The 17526-nt window shown below is 47.8% G+C and overlaps 1 protein-coding gene across 5 annotated transcripts in view, besides 2 other annotated features; it reads right to left on the bottom strand.

Moving 5' to 3' along the window:
• Positions 1-17526, bottom strand: part of AGAP1 (ArfGAP with GTPase domain, ankyrin repeat and PH domain 1) — a 637751-nt gene that overhangs the window by 392218 nt on the left and 228007 nt on the right. The window lies entirely within an intron of this gene.
• Positions 14862-15429: an enhancer, noted in NCBI's record as "H3K4me1 hESC enhancer chr2:236632791-236633358 (GRCh37/hg19 assembly coordinates)". NCBI's record gives its function as "activates a minimal SCP1, AML or CMV promoter by ChIP-STARR-seq in naive H9 embryonic stem cells {active_cell/tissue: H9 hESC(naive)}" and the evidence as "EXISTENCE:reporter gene assay evidence [ECO:0000049][PMID:30033119]".
• Positions 15430-15997: an enhancer, noted in NCBI's record as "H3K4me1 hESC enhancer chr2:236632223-236632790 (GRCh37/hg19 assembly coordinates)". NCBI's record gives its function as "activates a minimal SCP1, AML or CMV promoter by ChIP-STARR-seq in naive H9 embryonic stem cells {active_cell/tissue: H9 hESC(naive)}" and the evidence as "EXISTENCE:reporter gene assay evidence [ECO:0000049][PMID:30033119]".

Genomic DNA, 17526 nt, shown 5'->3' with positions numbered 1-17526 from the left:
ACAATGAAGAAAACCTTTTGATGTTAAAGCAGATAAACTCTCATTTTGCTGTCCCCCCAGTCACTGAAACAAGACGGTAGGGCCCACTGGAAATGGTCAGGCTGAGGCCCGTTAGCAGGGGACACATCCAGGCCAGTCAGGCCGCTGGGTCCAGACAGGGTGAGCCCCAGCTGCACGAGGGTCCCAAAGACTCAGGGTCCCTGAATCGAGAGTCCTCGTAGGCAAAAAAGAAATGCTTTTCTAGCAGAGCTGTTGTCATCATGAAACAAGCTGGGAAACATCTGACACAGGTGGACGTCCCCACGTATGTGACGGTGCTGCAGACGGTCGCCCCCAGACCCCGATACTGGCCTAGCTCTGCCTGAACCCTGGCTCTGCCACATACAGCTGTGTAGTCTTGCCCCACCTCGCCCCATCTCAGTGTCCCCAGATGCAAAGGGGATGATGTCCTAGCAGGCGAGGAGTAATAAGTTGACACAAAGCACCCTGAACAGTACCCGACCCAGTCTTATTTGAAATTTCTGCCAAGGTTCTTTTAACCTGCTTTAATAAAAGTCGTATTTAACATTGAATAAGCCTGCTTACGACAGAAAAGTCTGCAACAGTGATAGTAGTATTATTTCCCTTTAAAAAAACTTTTTAAAAAGAGATGCTGGAAACCTGCTGTATCTTGGTGATGTGAATTGAATTTGACTGTTTTAAGAAAAATAACATTTAAGGCTGGGCGCGGTGGCTCACACCTGTAATCCCAACACTTTGGGAGGCCGAGGCAGGTGGATCACCTGAGGTCAGGAGTTCAAGACCAGCATGACCAACACGGTGAAACCCTGTCTCTACTAAAAATACAAAAATTAGCCAGGTGTGGTGGTGGGGGCCTGTAATCCCAGCTACTCGGGAGGCTGAGACAGGAGAATTGCTTGAACCTGGGAGGTGGAGGTTGCAGGGAGCCGAGATTGCGCCACTGCACTCCAGCCTGGGTGACAGAGCAAGACTGTGTCTCAAAAAAAAAAAAGAAAGAAAGAAAGAAAGAAAAATAACATTTGAAAAGGAAATCTGTTCCTCTTTCTTTGGAGAAGAATCTTCTCCTTCATACCCTGTTCTGTGTGTGGCCCCAGGCACCAGCCCACCAGGTTCAAATCCCTGCCGAGCCCTCCCTGGCTGAGTGACCTCCAGCACGTAACTCAACTGCTCGATGCCTCAGTTTCCTCACCTGTGAAATGAGGGTAAACAGAGCCTTCCTTAATGAGTTAATGCATGAAAAGCTCTTAGAACCCTGCTTGGGACAGAGGAGCTCAGCAAACAGGGATCCTCACCATCCCTGCCCCATTTATCTCACCCCCAAGTGTTTTTAATCTCCCTCTGCTCTCCCTTCCCTACCCCTCACATTCATTGAAATCACCCACACTTCTTTGCTAGGTTTCTGCACAAGTTTCCTGCCTGCCCGTGCCCACTCCCGGCCTCAGTCCCTCCTTCCCCTAACATATATCACAGCCAGAGGGACCTCGCCGCCACACCGTCCCGACCCTGTGTCCTGAGCCCCACATGTGCTCCTCTGTGCCCTCCGGACGCTGAGTGCCCTACAGGGCCCCAGCTCCAGCCCTGCCCTCTGATGGTTGCCCCAGATACAAGGGTATGTGGAAGCCCTCCCTGCTTGATGAACCCTAAGGTTCAACTTTGATGAGGCTTCGTCTTGTCCAAGCACGCTGGCCCCAGGTCCCATTCCTCACTAGATCCCTAGACTGTGTCACCTCCAGAGCAAGAAGGGAGGAGTGGAGCCTGTCCCAGGGGCCCTGCAACGCCAGTGTCCCTCGCTGCCTACCTCTCCAGGAGTGGGAACTTGGGGAGCGTCACCACCCAGCTCTCGTGGAATGACCGTGACGCCCTGGCAGATGACCCTCCCTGTTGCATGTCAGGTGAGCATGCATAGGACGGATTTCACGTCCATCCTCTCCTTTGCTTCCTCTAACATGTTTTTGCAGAGTCACGTTCACAAGTGAAGCTTCCAGGTGGCTGAATCACAATATTCAAGTTACGAAAGGTTCCCTAGGAGGGCACTGAGCCTTCTCATTTCTGCTCTCCTGAAGTCTCTGGCTTTGTGATCTCAAGCAAAGGACTCCAGGCCCAACTTTCATTGCCTCTAAAAGGAGCAGTGATTCCTTCTCTCATCAGCAAGGTCTCTTCGAATCCTAAAGTCAGTTTACATTCCCCCGGCAGATACAGAGTATAATTAACAGTTCTTTTCAGCATCTTACAATTTCAAACACCAGATACTGGTAATTGATTTGCATGATTTTTTTTCGTATTACACTTAAATCAGAAAGCAAAAATTAAATACTGCTAAGTATTTGCCACGAACTCAAAGGTGAATAATAAGATAAAATTCAGCCAGGTGCTCCAGCAGCCAGGTTGTATGAAAGCAAGAATGTCTTTACTGGGGAGATTTTCAAAAGGTCCCGCAGGGCACTACTGATGGGAGCAGGTTCAGCTCAATAGGACCACTGGGCCTTGAGAAGTCTGGGCTGGCAGGTAGGTAACACTTTAAAATTCATTTTCTACACTTGAACCACTTTAACCACAGAAGGAGAGCCTTAGGATGACAGCATCGTTGGCAACAAGCTGGTACTCTGCAGGCACCACCACTTGCACCATTTTAAATTCAACCTACCATTTCATCAGATCTCATCCCAGTCATTAGATTTTTCATTGTTGTTGTGTTGTGTTTTGTTTTGTTTTTTGAGACACAGTCTCACTCTGTTGCCTAGGCTGGAGTGCGGTGGCACGGACATGACTCACTGCAGCCTCGACTGCCTAGGCTCAAAAGATCCTCCCACCTCAGCCTCCCTGAGTAGCTGGGACCACGGACATGTGCCGCCACACCTGGATAGATGAGATGGGGCCTCATTGTGTTGCCCAGGCTGGTCTCGAACTCCTGGGCTCAAGCGGTCTACCTGCCTCAGCCTCCCAAAGGGAGATCTTTTTTCCACCAGAATTTTAGAGGATACCATCAAATTTTACATCCAGTTTCAAGCTGAATGTAGCTTCTGAAATGCCTGTTTTGTCCCCATTTCCATGTATTTTCCTGCAGGTCTGGTTCGCCCACCGGTATCCTCCCAGCACCTGGTGCACAGCTTGGCCCATGGCCCATGTAATGGATCTGCCATGAGTGATGTGCAACCTTCTCTGCTGCCAATTATGATGACGTACGATTAAATGACATCAGCATAACTTCATTTTCAAAAATGGTTTTCAGTCTCCCCAAACCTGATGTCCCTGTCAGACATGCATCTGGCCCAGGCACACCTGTGAACAGGTGCTAGGCGAGCTCCGTGGGAAGGGACCAGCGCCCACCCTGGAACCACAGCACCTCCCAACGGCGGGCACCCCCAGGGTGAGGAACCAGACAGATCGGTCGCAGCTGCCTGACCCTAAGGTGGAACCAGGTCGCTGGGCAGCTGTGACCGCATCTCAGTGAGAGGGGAAAACAGAGTCCCAGTCTCACTGAAATCTGTGCTTCCCCAGGACACAAGGATATCACAGGAGGTAAACAGCATCACCTGGAATCCTCAGCTTAGAGCAGAGGGAGGTGAGAACGGAACCCGCATCCCTTCTGGGCTTGGCTTTCTGCACTGAGTTTGAAGCAGAATGGAGTGCTCTCACCTCGCCCGAGCTACTTGGGGATACAGCGGTCCCATCTTCTTGTCTGAACTCAACTTCAAGTGCAATGTGCAATGTATTAGGTTTCTGGTTCACCCCAAGGCAAGTGTTCAGGGTTCCCAGAACATGTGGAAACTGCGCTGGGTGCCTTAGTTTGCCCTTGAGCTTGTATTCATAAGCGAGTCGAGGTCTTAATTTCTCCCTAAATCCCACACTGCAGAGAGAAAAGTATATGGAAGGTGGAACTGAGTTATTTCCACCAAGATGCTGAAGTGGGTGCGTTCACCGTGAATGAACAGCGCACCAGGAAGAAAAGGATACAGCTACACTCTTTCGTTTTTTAAATACCTTTTTCTAAGTCCTCATAGCCTTTCACGATTACTATTCTGAATGCTGTCTCACAATGTGAGAGCCAGTTTTAAATTTGGGGTGCTGGGGGAAGTAAAACAACTGGGTTCCTTCAAGTTTCTGCACTCACGCGAGGTTGAGCTACAGCGGAGCCTCTTGAACACAAGTGCAGTCTACACAGAGACAAGTCGGAGAGGGAGATCATCTATGCTGTCATTTCTGCTTTAAGAAAAAGAAAATAAAGAGAAAACTGAATTTTCCCATTCCAAAAAAAGGGCCCTTTTGGGAGTCAACATTGCAACAGATGTTTGGCATTTCTGTCATTTTGGCTAATTGAACTGAAAGCTATCAACGTATCATTAACAGTCCTCCAAGCGACAGCTATGGCAACGACAGTGTGCCTTCCAACGCCATCGTCTACAAAGCACTTGTTTTCCCACATCATCTCTGTTAGCCCGCACCCCATCTTATGACGCAAACATCATTGGCAACACCCAAATCCACTCAGGAGGAAAAGGAGTTCAGACACAGAGCAAGAGCTCCACGGCCAGTGCGCGGCAGGATACAAAGCACTTGTTTTCCCACATCATCTCCGTTAGCCCTCACCCCATCTTATGACGCAAACATCACTGGCAACACCCAAATCCACTCAGGAGGAAAAGGAGTTCAGACACAGAGCAAGAGCTCCACGGCCAGCACGCGGCAGGACCAAGACTCCAATCCAGACGTTCTGACTGCTTCTTACGCCTCCTCTCTTCCATGTGAACTTCTGCTAAGACAAGCCCTACAGAAACAAAGCCGGCAGCCTCCGTGTTTGCTGCGTTTTGCAGCATCCACAGGGCCAACATCAAACAGGCAGAGAGGCGGGACTATCTTATCCTTACTCCACTCACACTTGGGAAGGGTGGCCTCTGTCTTTAGCTCCAATAATCATCACTGTGCTTAGGAAACTAAAAAGACAGACACCTGTCTGTAACTTTCATTTTTTACTGTTGATTTTTATCTTTTTAAAGGGTTTTTAATTTTTACTATTCTTTTTTTTTTTTTCATGCCTGAGCTAAGGATGAAAATGACTCTTGACTTCAAAGCTCCATGTGTAGAGCCCACTGTTTCCCTTTGCCATCAGAGAGGGGAGGGACCTCATGGCAGTGTCTGATCAAGATGCAGTGGGGCCACCCCGGTTCTTTCAGCAGATGCAAGCTGGCCACACCTCGTCAACCGCCCAGCGCTGTGGGGTTCAGACTGGAAGGGAGAAAGACAGGAGGAGCATGGCTGGCAGGTCCTGGGTCCCTTTCGGCCACACGTTTGGGATTCTCTTCCAGGAAAAACATTTTCAAAATTCATCTACAATATTCCTTGTTACTGAGTGCCATGATGACATCGGGAGAAAATCTGCAAACTGTATTATTCCCTAATTATTTTTAACAAGTGGGATGAGATGGATACCTTGAAAAGGACAATCAGCCCTCGTTTTTCCCTAGGAGAATATTTAAAATTTCAATCATGAATGCGCCAGAAATTTGTAAAAAATAAGTTTGGCTCATTTAACTTTGATAAAAATACTGAAGTCAGTCACTAATGTTGGGGTTTTGGAAAAGTTTTGTATTGTGACATTTAAAAGGAATTTTGGACCACATATTATTTATACACTGGGAAAAAGGTTTTATTGGTAACATCTTTGTTTACAAAATTTAGCCAAATCAGATTTCACTTCCTCTCCCAACTTTTTTTTTTAATTTACATTGTAAAATACAAAGTAACTACTACACAAAGGTACCAGCAGTGAGTGAGGACCCTGCATGTGGCGACTGCTGACTATTTCCATGGGTGAAACACTCCGGGGTTCTGACCCGCAGTGAAGTGAGCACTTAACACGATTTCCTTGGGCAGGCCACGGTCTCTCATGGTTTCATTTAACCGAGATCTAAGTAAGGTACAAAAGGAACACAGAACAAGAAAAAAGCCAAACTCCAGGTTAAGATGGCAGATTAGAACTTCACTATAACTGAATTTCCTTTCCTCCTTTCCTAATAAAACAAGGGGGAAACATTAAAGCCAGAAGGAAGGAACTTCACCATCCAACAGGAAAAGGGGCACGGCTTTACATAATAAACCTCAAAAAACGCAGGCTCTAAGGAACAAAAAGGAAGATTTGAGCTGGGCGGAGGCTCCTCATCTCTCCTACAACCTGAGCCAACAACACCCCATCACTTCACCCCAAAGTGCGCAGGGAAGAAACAGAAGGGGCAGCCGTGGCCTCATCTTTTTCGTCTCCTGACTGAGGAATGGAAATAAGAAAGCCTTGGAAGTGAATGGCCGGCAAAGGCTCTCCGGAGGCAAAGAAGATGCCCGTGTTGCCTGGTGAGCGGGAGAAGTGACCCACGCAGGGGGGCACCTCAAGGGGAACAATGATATATTCCTCCCACCCCGCAGGATGGGTGAAGGGAACCTGGAAGAGGATGTGGTAAATTCCCAGGAAGAGCAGAGCCCTGGTCCCTAAAGAAGGGCAGACTCTTTCAACGGGAGGCAGCTCCCTCCAACTAGACGGATGGCAGAGCATGGATGCTCAGTAAATCCTGGGATCTCCAGAACAGCATCCAGTCTCAGCTCCCACAGCGTGGGCAGTGAGACTCGAAAGATGCCCCCAACACCCCTGGGGCTGGCTGGGGGAGGTGGCTGAGGTCTGGCAAATGGGAGTGTGGGTAGAATGGTCTGGCCCATCTCGTCCAGGACACTCAGGATGAGAGCATCTCCTCTCCCTCACCTTCTCCCACCACAGGAAGCAGGGCGGTCACGGGCTCCCAACAGCCTAGATTTGACTCAGAATGAGGGAGAAGTCTTCCCAGTGGTCAGCATCGGTCTCAGGGAAAGACAATGTCTGGGAAGAGAGGTCCAAGCCAAGAAGGCTGAAGAGCAGGGCTGGGGACATTATGCAAAGGCTCCCCAGCAGGGAAAATGGGAAGGCGGGAGAGGCTTGGGGAGAGGAAGGAGGGAAGGGAACAGAAGAGAAACAAAGCAACAATGGAGAAGAAAACAAAGCTCAAAAAGCAGAAGGAAGTCCCTTACAACCGCTTCCCACTCCAGTGTGACTTAAGAAAGAACAGCCATTCCAGGAGACGAGAACCTCCAGTATGAGAATTTGAAACAATATGAGATAAAATGGAAACGTCCAGATCTGAGGATCAAAACGGCATTTGGGGAACTGATGAATAAAATTAGAAAAAGTAAGGAGCAGAAGAGACAAGGCTGAAAGCTGAGTTTCTGACACAGAGGAATGGCTTGAAACAGACACAGTCAATGAGATTAAAAAGACAGAGGTAAAGTATTTAAGAGAGAAGTTCATTGACAAACGGACCTAAACAAAAGGATAAATGGTATCTCTGACAACACATCCACAACAAAAGAACTCAAAGACTATTCGAAGATAAAAGACAAAGGAATGTTCCTGAGACGCAGAAAGATCTGAATCCGCAGATCAAAAGTGCACGCGATACACCAGGAAAATGTGACACAGATTCACAACTTTCAAGATGAGAAAACCAAGGTCTGCAGAAAAACAGCACACAGGTTTTTGTGCTGGAGAAAAACAGCACAAAAGATGAGGCCACGGCTGCCCCTTCCATTTCTTCCCTGCGCACTTTGGGGTGAAGTGATGGGGTGTTGTTGGCTCAGGTTGTAGGAGAGATAAGGAGCCTCCACCCAGCTCAAATCTTCCTTTTTGTTCCTTAGAGCCTGCGTTTTTTGACGTTTATTATGTAAACCTCACACATAGGCTGTGTGACCCTGAATAGCTTTTGTGGCCTCTGGTGCCTCTGTTTCCCTAGGTATAAATGAGCTAATCCATGTCGGCTGTCAGCTTCCTGAAACGTCACAAGTGGCTCATAAAAATTAACGAATGACTGCTACATTACGATGATGACTATACCATTTCCAAATGGAAACTCACACATGGAGAGCTCTGAAACGCTAATTCAATGAACAGAAGAAGCAAAACTGCAACAACCAGAACATGAGAGATGCCTGTCTTCTGTTCAATTCCCACAGGAAAGCCAGGCCTCTTCCTAATACGCAGCCATAATTCCATGCTTTCTGGAAGATCCAGGATACGTCTTTTCCCTTACATCAAAATAGCCTATAAAATAGCACGTCTTGGACAAGTGCTTCTCAAATGGCTCTAGGAAAAAGATTCTATAAATCTCTAGTAAAGGAGTCCATGTTTATCCAAGTGTGTGGCATGTTCCTAAAGTCAGACCAGAGCTTCCAGGTAAGCAAGTGATAAAATAACAAAGGGGAACGCATCTGCTGTATACTCAGCCAATGATACAATCTGGTTCCCATTAGTGTGAGCTCCTTTTTCGCAACTACACCACAAGGGCCTGTGCCTGTTTCTCCACTACCACCCTACACAGGTCAAGAACATCTTGGTCATCTCAACCACCACCAAACAAACAGCCATCCCCATTACATGTCAGACACAGCCTTGATGCCAGGAATAGGGTGAACAAGACAAGGTCTCTGTCCTGATAGAGGTTTTTGTCCAGAATAGCAGCAGAAGGAAACTGACTCATGTAAGACAAGGAGAGCCGGGCTAGGGGCTGGGGGTTGGGGGTAAGCTGCAGGCAGGCTCAGCATGCACCTCTCGGAGAAAACGGTTGGGGGCTGCTTTTCAATCACCACTCTGAAGAAAAAAATAGTCACATAATGATTGGCCCCACCCAATACAACCTAATACATAACCAAATAAGTAAACTATTGATTGAAAATCTTCCGATACCCACCAAAACAGTGGTGCTTGAATATTTCAGCATCTCCCACTGTCTCTCAAATAGCCTGCATGGTCAACTAAACATATTTAGTAATACACGTTTGGTTCTTGGGAGGAAAATGATTTTTAATATTTTATACATTTATTTTAAGCATAAAAAAGGTAAATGGCATGGTAGCTCACACCTGTAATACCAGCACTTTGGGAGGCCAAGTCAAGAAGATCGCTTGAACCCAGGAGTTCAAGGTATAGTGGGCTATGATGGCACCACTGCACTCCAGCCCAGGTGACAGAGTGAGACCTTGTCTCGTTTTTTTTTTTTTTTTTTTTTAAAAGGTAAACAAAAGAGCATTGCAAAACTGGAGAAAGTGCCTAACTCCTCATCTGGGGTATTTAAATAATGCTTTCTCACCAAGTAACAGCACCATGACCTGAGACGGATGCACAATGGCACAAGTGTTAGAATCCAGAGAGGGCAGGAAGCAAGTGGGACAGCAGAGTGCCAAGCAGGGGACCCTTGGCAGTTACTCGGCTGCCGACACGGGCACACAGGCTCCTTGTCCCTCAGACCCTATTTCTCTACACTAGTGCTTCCTATGTGAACATAACTTTAGATTAAATAATAATCGGCTTTACATGAACTCTCTTTTTCAATATGCAATTCAGGAAGTGAGTATGTAAAAGTACGGGCTTATGAGCTGTTTGTCCACATATAATTCTCTGAATGTAAATAAGGTACTTGTTTCAAGAAACTAAGAAAGGATGGTTGCTATTCGATGAGCCTGCATGGAGAAACTAAGAAATCCTACGTGATTTGACTGTTCTATGCCTTTTTTCCATACTGTAGGGTAGGGGGCTGGCGAACTGCCTGTGTAAAAGGCCAGAAAGTAAACATTTTAGGCCTTGCATGTTGTATCCTTCTTTGTTTTTATGTTTACAACCCTTTAAAGAAACTAAAAACCTCTGTTCTCAGGCAGTAGCAACACGGAAGAGGTGACAAGTCGCTGCTGTAGTCTCATCTTTGGTATTTCTTTTGTTGACAGATGCACTTTACTCTTCTAACTGCCAGACTCCTTTTTCTCTGGGGACTCTGGAAAACGCATTTGTAATTCTTACAATCCTGTGGTGACACTGTAATGGCTTTAATGGAAGGAGGCCAGCAGGTTGTCTCCAGGCCTCTGTCCCCATCCTAGCTTGGATTTTGGTCCCCAAGAATAACCAAGTGGACCAACGCCCTGAGCTGGAAAGCACCAAGACCCGGTCCAGCCTCTCATCCACAGGTGGCAGAGGTGAGACCGCCGTGAGACTGCCCCTACAGCATCCTCCTGGGGGAGGGGGTCACTGGCTCTCAGGCTGAGCTGACCCTGCAAGGCCCAGTGGTTCTTCCAGGAACCTCCTGCCTCTGGAACATCTTGGAACGAGCTGCATCTGCCACTGAGGTACTGCCAGGCTCCCTGGGGCTCCCAGCCGAGATGCTGCCCAAGTTGAAGTGGCTGCCAGGTCACATGGTTCTAGACGGCCCAAACACACCTGGGAATCAGTTTTTCTTAGGCCCAATAAGCGGATGCGGCTCCTCAAGGGGCACACGCCCTAGTTAGTGCAGGGGGCTTCATGGTGATGGGTTCCAGCAGCTCATCCCATTAGTCAATGTCAAGGTCCAGAGGTGGCCTGGGGATTCCCCTATCTGTCCTCTTAGGTCCCCCTCCAAAGCCAGTGCTCCTGCTAATAGCCTGGCTGGAGCCCTGGAGCCCAGCCACTCTGACTCTTATCATGCCTCTGCCTGGCCAACCCCACTTCTCCTCTCTCCGTCCCTGGGACATGGAAGACCCACACAGCAGCTGGCCTGGTCCCCTGCCAGATGGTGTGGTCACATCACGCCTGGGTTTTGACCATTCCTCCACAACCCCTGCTCTCGTCCAGGCTCCAAACCTCCCTTCTTCATCCAACCTAAACCTACTCCCTTCTTCTTAGTGTCTAGAGGGCAATGCTGCAGGCTGGCTTCCCCTCCTCCCCGCCCCGCTCTTGCTCCACTAGGCACGCTTTCATTTCAATGTATTTGGCCTTCAAAGAGCAAGTGTTGATTTTTTCCTTCTTGCTTATGGTGGTGTTAATTTTTAAAAAAATATACAACATTAAGAAATGGGGCTCAGAAAATAAATGCTGGCGACATGGGCTGCCCTCATACAACAAGAACAGACCACCACCAGCTTTCGGACCCAGGGCAGGCACCAGCAGCTCTCACACTAGCACTCCTCCTGCACACAGACCCTGCCTCAGAATCCTCCTGAACACTGTGCGTTCCAGAAGCCAACAAGCATGGATAAAGGACTACACTGTGAGTTGAATCAGGTTTCCATTTCTGGTCTGGGTCAATCATTCATGAATTTGTTAGTTTAAGCCATTGGAATCATATGAAACTGTCATCTTTTGCAGATTATTGGCAGCTGTATATAGCCTAATTTACATTGATTTAAGAGCACGCACACACACACACACACACACACACAGAGTCTGGGCCCAGTCCTTTTCAGATCTCACAGCCAGCCAGTAGCACATGAAATGGAGCGGGGAGCTTGGGGGCACTTTCACTACATCTCAGATTCTCCTGATGTAATTCTTTCTGGCACTCGACCTAATTTGCCGTTGGGAGTTTCTTTCAACTTCTACTTCCCTTGTCTCCATCGTCCTGGCCCTTGGAATTTGCCATGGGCAGAGAAGTGGCACTTAGTGTCCAGGCCCCCACTGGGCAGACACGGTCTTACAAGGACGCAGCATTTTCTTTGGGGAGTTGCGAGAGGCAATCCCAGCTCTAATCGGTGCTGAGTGGAACGTGTGCTCTGCACATTCAATTTCATTCCCGGCCTTCTCTGAAGTGTCAATCTCTCCATTCTGACCCACAGCCAGGCCCCCAAACTAGACATGCTGCACCCCCACCCTGTCTTTTCTCTGCACTTCGTCTTTTTCAGTATGCTACCTTCCAGAGGAAACCATTGAACCCTGATTGCTGGACTGCTACGCCTAAGAAAGGCTATATTATGATCAATATGGGTACCTCCTGAGAGACTGATCGCTCCCCTTTCCTGACACCGATAAAACAGGTTGGGGGAGAAGCGGAGAGGAGGAGTGGTGGTGAGCTAATGCGGTTGATGATGTTGGAGGAAGGATGTAAAAACATTATTTTGTGAGCTGACATTTTTAAGATCCAAACAATGTATAACATTCCAAAGACTAAGCTTTCAGCATTGGAGATTAAGAAGCAAAAACTTGCCTGAAAATGTCAGAGGTCCACAGCCCAAGTGAGACTGTAAAAGTCACAAGGAGACACTTACCAGAGGTAGCTTTGGGGTGAATTCAAACATACCCCAGGTGCTTCTCCTTTAGCACCCAAGTTCAAACCGTGCAAGCTGGGTGTAACGTGATCTGTGAATTAGGAAAGAGAACTGCATTGCACAACACCCCCTCCCCCCAGCCCCACCCTGGCTAAAATGTTTAAAACGGACAAACCCTGAAGACACAGGGTTGGGACTTGCCTCCCGGCCTTTTCTGGAGTCCACCTTCTGCCCAGCCCTAGTCTATCATACTCCTGCTCAAGCCACTCAGCTCAATTAGGCTGACCTCATCTCCCCACCCGAAGGGACAGAACAATCAAAACATCCCCTCCAACCTGTGATACTGATTGTTTTAGGGAAAAGCACCTGACTCAAATGAGGCCACATGGAACTGACTTAGAGTCTTTTGCTGTAGCTATTGACAAAAATCCTCACCTTTCCCTCCTCACCACATCTGAGCACTAAGGACCGAAACCACCATGAAGGGCTTGCTACCAAGTGGGGAGACCTTGCTGGGCATGATGCCCACCCAACACAGGCAAGAAATGGGGGAGAGGGCTCCTCAAGAACTTCAGTGCATCAGGAGATTAGGGTCTTTCTAAAACTAAATCCATCCCCTTGGCAGCTCCAGAGATGCAAGTTAAGAAGTTAATAATTCACCACTGGCCCACCCCCTCCCTGCCTTTCTATTTTAGCTAACCTAAGTTGGTCAACTATCTCATGCAACCAAAAGAGCATTGACTAACACAGCGAGCATGGCCCCGGGGCTTCCAGACCAGAGCAGGCGGTTCCCTGGCCAGGGGCACAGTGGTCTGCTATAATCTGGTTTCCTGGACCTGGAGCTGGGCTTCCAGAGAGATGGCGTGATCAAGGCCAAAGACATGGGCAGACGGGAGGAGCAGTGAACACAGGTGAAAGTGTGTGATGGTGGTTCCATTGGGATAGATTCAATGGCTCTGTTAATCCGCAATAAACAGGTAAATGCACCCACAGCCTCAGAACACTTTTGGGGTAAAATTTCTCTAGGAAAAATGATTTGTAATTACATACGTGAAACTTTCTAGGCTCTAGTCTCCATTTTCCTCTTAAAGAACGGTTTTGTTAAAATATCTGATGCCGTGAGGTTTCTTAGGAAAGCAACAGTTGTGTCAACAGCATGTGCTGTGCTGTTGTTGGGCTCTGTGAGTGAAGGGACACACATGAGCCTCTGTGCGCTGCCCTCAGGAGACAGTGACTCCCCACAGAAGCCAGCGGGCTTGTCCTCTTTAGGGCGCTCCCAGACCGGGTGTAAGTCCCAGCCCTGCATCACAGTTACTTATTCAGAAAGGTATTTTCTCTGGAACACAGGCTCCAATGCAGGCCCAGTATGGCTTTTGGTAAGCCCTGGATTTCTTGTCAAATTAATTATAACAATATGGGACAATACATTCTGAGTTCCATACAGCCAACTCAAAAACACACTTTGTCCTGCCAATTTCATCAATGCCAAAAACATGACTATCTCCTTATTCTGATTTTACGGCTTTTTTTCTTGCTCAAAATGAAACAGAACATGCTTCCCTTTTATTATTTTTTTGAACATCTAATAATAATGTTAGCATCCTTTACCTATTTTTAGACAATATCACCTGATCCTCACTGATGGCTTCCATGCCAGGGGTCAAGTTAGGGACTGTCACACACATAGGAAGACAAGAACAAAGGGGAATGGTATTTCCATGGTGAGTGATCAGGTTAATTCTGAAAATCATCAGTGAAGATGGCTGAACTGACTTCTGCTTTATCTATTAAACCAACATAGCAGCAGGCTCATCATCTCAACGTTTACAGATAATTCTCATTAAAAAATTATCATGTGTTTATAATCACTTGGTTGCAACTAACGGTCAAATTGAGGTTGAAAAATCTAAATGGCTAGATTTCACGACTAGTCAAATGTTACTGGAGTATTACAGGTGTTTTTTTTTTTTTTCCACTGGAACATTAAACAGCACCCAAGAACAGCTTTAGAAATAAACTCTAACATCTGGGATGCAGTGGTAGCTGACAACCTTTTTTTTTAAGTTATTTGACTTGGAAAGGGTTTTTGGAGCTGACAGCTTAAACACACTTCATGTGTCCCAGAAAATAAGACTGGGTGTTTACCACGTTTTGTTTCTAAGAAACTAAGTAAACATTCGTTAAAACATATTTAAGATACACGTGCTCCTGAGAACACATTTACTACCCCGATGACAGGAAACAATTCTAGGCAGTCCTGAAGGAGGGTGGCAAGGCTAACCCCGGGAACAAAGACTTGCAGGTGGCTGTACAGCCAGCTGGCCCTGGAGGCCAGAAGCCAGTGGCCAGTAGAACTCTCATCCAGCACACCGCGTCAGCAGCTTGGAACAAGCAACAGAAACCAAACACACAGTGGAAAATCCCAGAACCCTTCAGCCTCAGTGCAGCACAGCCTGACCCCCGACATGCTGGAAACGAGACGTCCTTTCTCCAGGAGGTGAAGCGGCTCATTCCTTCCTACAGAACCTCCAAGCCTTTAGCAAACTCTGATGTGAACCAAATAAACCAAACAGACAAGCGAAAGGCTTCTCTTGGAGAGATGTAAGAAATGAGGTGGGTCTGGTGTACTTTCCTGCTTCCCAGGCACAAAGCAAAAGTATGTTTGAGAATTTCCTATGACTTATGCTCAGAAACTCGACTTTCCTGAGTTAGGGAACTGTCGAGCCTAATCTCACCCACTGTTTCTCACTGGTCCTTACCTGGTAGTTATAATTACTCTTAGCACCTGGTATTTTCTCTTAAAGCTTTTCCTCATGAGCACTGGATGTTCAGGTTTCTTCAGTCTCCCTTATCTGTTTTGGACTCTTCTTTACATAGGGAACTCCCCCTCCCCCCACCACCGCAGGTACCTTTTCCATCTGGGAGGGCACTGACTTCCCCTGCCCTACGCTGGCAGGCTCCTGAGTGAAAGAGCTGCCTTGAGCTCCTTGACCATACTCTTCCAGCTACCTCAGCTATCATATTCTATCGGGAAAATGAATGAGGGAGGCTAATCTCCCAGTGACCAGTGTGTTCCGTCTCTGGGACAGAGCATGGGGGCAGCTGCTGCCTATGTGTGGCCCGAGCTGGGAAGATGGGAGAGCCTGGACATGGGGCTGGAGGGTCGCCCTTCTGGGAGGGAGGCAGGGCCGGCACAGCCTTTACCAGCCATCCCCATTACCAGGCTCCCGGCCAGGAGCTCGCTGGCTGTTGGCCTAGGCACATTCAGGGCTGCCTCAGCCTTGGAGCTAGCTTTCTGCCTAAAATTTTGAGTTGGTTAAGAATCAGTCAGAAACTCCAGATTCCATCACTGAAGGAAGGAGCCCCTGCTGAATTAAGCTCATGAAGACCCGGGAATGCCAGGGCCAACGCTCCCACATCATGCCTGGCTAAGGCCCTTCCCTGCAAATCCCTCTGTGTGGCGGCAGCAGGCTACGACACCACTGACCCTCGCAGGCAGCCGCTGGGCCTCAGTGGCAGGCAGGCCCCGGCCCTCCTTTTGCCACTTTCACACCTAGATGTGGGTTTCTTCCAGATCTGGGATAAAGGCGGCTCTCAGATGGCCCACCTTCCTCTCGGTACTTTCATTTTGCAGCTTGGAGTTGGTCTATGAACATTCTTAAGTCTCTGTCGATCGACCAACCAACCAACCAACCAACCAACCAACCAACCAACGATAAAAGCTCCCACTCAATCCATATACAGTTTAGTTTCATCTTGGGAAGCTTGTGGGGCCACCTTTCTGCCCTCCTCAGGTGTGCCACGATCTCAGCGTGGTGCTGGCTTTCAGCTTTTCTGGTCCTCAGGTCCTTCTGGCACACAAGCTAACCTGCACAGCTCGGGAGGGCCCATGGCCCAGGGTGCCTGTGATGCCATGGGTGACACAGAGAGAGTTGTCCTGGGGAACGGGTCTCAGAGCAATGACTCAGTTCTGCAACCTGAAAAGATCTCAGGAGGACGCCACACTCTCCCCACCTGCAGGGGGTGAAGTGTCTTGGGCAGGTCCACATTTCCTATCTAATGTCCACATAATACTGGACATCCTAGCTTTGTTTCCTTTGACTTTTTCTCTTTTGAAAGGAGAGTTAAAAGCTGAGTGGCATCATGTGGGGTCTGTGTTGGGGGACGCTGAATATTAAGCACATAAACACACCACGAGGGAAGTCACATTACACACCCAAAATGTCACACGATTCTAATCAGCAGCCATTAATAGGGCTCAATTGGCAAATAACTAATTTTCATCTCATTCTCTTTATAGGAAGTGAACGGCAGCTGTGAAATTGTCCTCAGAGGTGTGAAGGTCACTGCCAGCCGATGAGTCCTTGTGAGGTTCTAGAACACCAGCAGAGCTTGCAAAAGCATCACTGGCAGAACCATGACCACCACCAAGTGATGGGGCCAACTCCAACAGTTCTAAGTGCAGCGACCGTCTAAACCAAGCTTCTCTAACCTGCCAACCAGGACAGCTTTGGATGCGGCCCAACGCTAATTTGTAAACTTTCTTAACACATGAGTTTTTAGTGTGTGTATAATTTTTTTTTTTTTTAGCTCATTTGCTATTGTTAGTGTTAGTGTATTTTATGTGTGGCCCAAGACAATTCTTCCTCTTCCAATGTAGCCCAGCAAAGCCAAAAGATTGGACATCCCTGGAGAACATCACAGGTATATAACACACACTGCTGTGGGTTGAATTGTATCCCCTAGAAGATACGTTCAAGCCCTAACCCCTGGGACCTATGGTGTGACCTCACCTGGATAGAGGGTCTTTGCAGATGGGATCAAGTAAAGATGATGTCATGCTGGAGGAGGATGGGCCCTAAATCCAATGGCTGGTGTCCTTATAAGAAAAAGTTTGGACAGTCACAGATAGCCAGGAAAACACTGTGATGACAGAGGCAGAGACTGGGGTTAGGAGTCTATGAGCCAAGAAACAGCATGGATTGCTGACAGCCACCAGAAGCTCTCCCCTGAAGACAGGAAGGCCCTCACCACCTTAACCCTCCCAGCCATCTACATAACCCAGCCATCTACGTATACCAGCCACAGGTCATGATTAGGATAAAGTATATTCACGCACTAATTAAATCAGAACAACTGTGCACAGACATGCAACAGATTCAACCTCAAAGTCTGCAGAAGGACCAACCCCGTCAACACCTTGATTTCCGACTTGTGAGAATACATTTCTGTTTTAAGCCAGTTTGTGGTACTTTGTTACCACAGCCCTAGGACTGAGGTACACATACATATATTACACACCCAGATGTGCACACACACGTGTGAGCACGCACACCCAATTAAGGAATCTGTCTATACAAGAGGTTTACTCTTTGATGGCTTTCATGAAATCACAAGCTCTCTATGGAGTAACCCACTTTTGCACTGTTA

The sequence above is a fragment of the Homo sapiens genome, chromosome 2 (assembly GCF_000001405.40).
Source record: "Homo sapiens chromosome 2, GRCh38.p14 Primary Assembly".
Classification (NCBI taxonomy): domain Eukaryota; kingdom Metazoa; phylum Chordata; class Mammalia; order Primates; family Hominidae; genus Homo; species Homo sapiens.
The sequence above is the reverse complement of the archived record's forward strand: the minus strand, read 5'-3'. Positions and strand labels throughout refer to the sequence as shown.